Below are 2294 nucleotides of genomic sequence, written 5' to 3'. Positions count from 1 at the left end.
GTGCACATGTACCCTAAAACTTAAAAGTATAAAAAAAAAGTTTCTAAAACAAAAGAAATAAAAAATAAAAAAAGGTTGGATGTTAAATTTAAATCGTAGCATTTCATGTATTTATTTGTTTATTCAAGAATTTAATTTAACACATGTTTATTCACCATTTATTATATTGCTAGCAGTGTGTTGAGTTCTGGGGTTATAATGGTGAATATACAAAATAAAATTCCTCCCCTTTTGGAACTCAGGTTTTATAAAAACTATCAAGATTACAACCTATATCTGCACAGTCATGTGCATAGGCTGGGGGTTCCTTGAGCTGTGTATTTTTGCAGCACGTCCAACTGCATGCTGTGGGTCTGAAAAAAGATATTTACTCCAGTTAGAAATAACTTGAATAAATCTTTGTAGTACAGGGGACATGATAACAAATTTTGCTTGGCATAAATTAGATAATTAGATATTTTGGGCTTTTCAAGGCAGTAGGTAGAGAATGAGACATGAATTAATTTATCCTACTCACAGGCCAGGAAATTTTTGGTACTGAGAAAAGAAATATAATTCCAACTGATGATAATTGATCTGGAACCGGACCTCATAATTGACTCCTTCCTGCTTATTATTATTAATTATTTTTGAGACAGAGTCTTGCTATGTGGTCCAGGCTGGAGTGCAGTGGCGTGATCTCCCTGCACTGTGTGATCACTGTAACCTCCGCCTCCTGGGTTCAAGGGATTCTCATGCCTCAGCCTCCTGAGTAGCTGGCATTACAGGCTTGGGCTACCACACCCGGCTAATTTTTTTTTTTTTGGAGACAGAGTCTCACTGTATCCCCCAGGCTGGAGTGCAGTGGCATGATCTCAGCTCACTGCAACCTCTGCCTCCTGGGTTCAAGCAATTCTCATGCCTCAGCCTCCCAAGTAGCTGGGATTACAGGCGCCTGCCACCACGCCCAGCTAATTTTTGTATTTTTAGTAGAGACGGGGTTTTGCCATGTTGGTGAGGCTGGTCTTGAACTCCTGACCTCATGTGATCCACCTGCTTTGGCCTTCCAAAGTGCTGAGATTTCAGGTGTGAGCCACTGTGCCCAGTCCCCACCTGCTCATTATTTGACTTCGTAATGTTCAAGACCTTGATGACATTATTTCAAACACAGTGAAATTTTAATTATCTATGGAATATAGGGTCAGAGAAAGATGGATAACTAAACTTCACAGATAATTAAAAAAACCTCACTGCATTCATTTCTATTGCCTCCATCACCAAAGTACATTTACTAGGAACTCAAATAGTAAGTTTAAATTCACCTCTTTTGTCTTTCTATTCACTTCAAGTGAGAGTACAAATGGGCAATTGGAGAGAAGAGGAGGAACAAAGCGCTTGGGCAACACATTCTATGTGAACCGACAAGGGAGCTACATCCTCCTCCAGCCCCATCCGCTTGCTGGGAATTTAAGACACTTGCCCACGGAAGAGCACTTTTAGAATTATAAGTGCTGGGGCTCTTCTCTTAAGTATTTATGTTTTAAAAATTACTCTGTAGGTGAATCCAAAGGAAAGGAGAGTCTGCTGTTCTACTTCTTTCACAAGAGGTTTTCACTTGCCATTTGTCACTTGCCAACAACTCTGAAAAAAATAACAGCTTGCTTTAATTGTTCCAGCTGAAGAAGAGTCTGTCAATAAAAACTTCAGTGACTAATTTACAAACAAGGAGGTAAAAGACTCGGTACATTCTAACTGAAGGGAATTTAATGGTCCCCCCAAATAAGCAAGAACTTTGAACATTATTTTCCCTAACTGAGTTGTATAGTGGGAACTCTGAGATACCTGAGTGAGCCCTTAATGTGAATATATCACCCGGGCATTCTTTAGGAGTATGCTGGGAGAAGAGAAGTGAGGGGCCAATGTTCGTGCAAAGAACTAAGGAACAAAGAATTCACAGATTTGCAGAAGAACCACGTATTCTTAGCATCTGGCAGCACTGAATGCACAGGAACGGTGGTGTACCGCTGCAGGCAGACTTTCCTTACATACCTAATGGCATTTTTGGTTCCAAGAGGAAGATGTGAGACAAACTCCAGCTGCAGGAATCTCGTCATTTACACAACCAAAAAGCTGAGTCATGGTTGGAGAGTGTTATTTGTGGTTCCAGAAACTTGCTTCCTTTAGTATTCCAAACCAAATGAAATGTGTTTTTCACATCAGCAATTATTAAGAGTTTACAAGTCTCTTGTGAATAGGAGCCATAGTTCCCCTGTGTTCACTGGCAGGCACCTACTTCCTTTGCCTGTATTTCTGAG

At 40.3% G+C, this 2294-nt stretch overlaps 1 annotated feature.

The window, feature by feature from the left end:
• Positions 535-713: a silencer, noted in NCBI's record as "fragment chr14:20688795-20688973 (GRCh37/hg19 assembly coordinates)". NCBI's record gives its function as "represses an EF-1alpha promoter that drives an FKBP-Casp9 reporter gene in an ReSE screen in K562 erythroleukemia cells {active_cell/tissue: K562}" and the evidence as "EXISTENCE:reporter gene assay evidence [ECO:0000049][PMID:32094911]".

The sequence above is a fragment of the Homo sapiens genome, chromosome 14 (assembly GCF_000001405.40).
Source record: "Homo sapiens chromosome 14, GRCh38.p14 Primary Assembly".
Classification (NCBI taxonomy): domain Eukaryota; kingdom Metazoa; phylum Chordata; class Mammalia; order Primates; family Hominidae; genus Homo; species Homo sapiens.
Note: the sequence above shows the minus strand (reverse complement) of the source record. Positions and strands in the feature narration are given on the sequence as shown.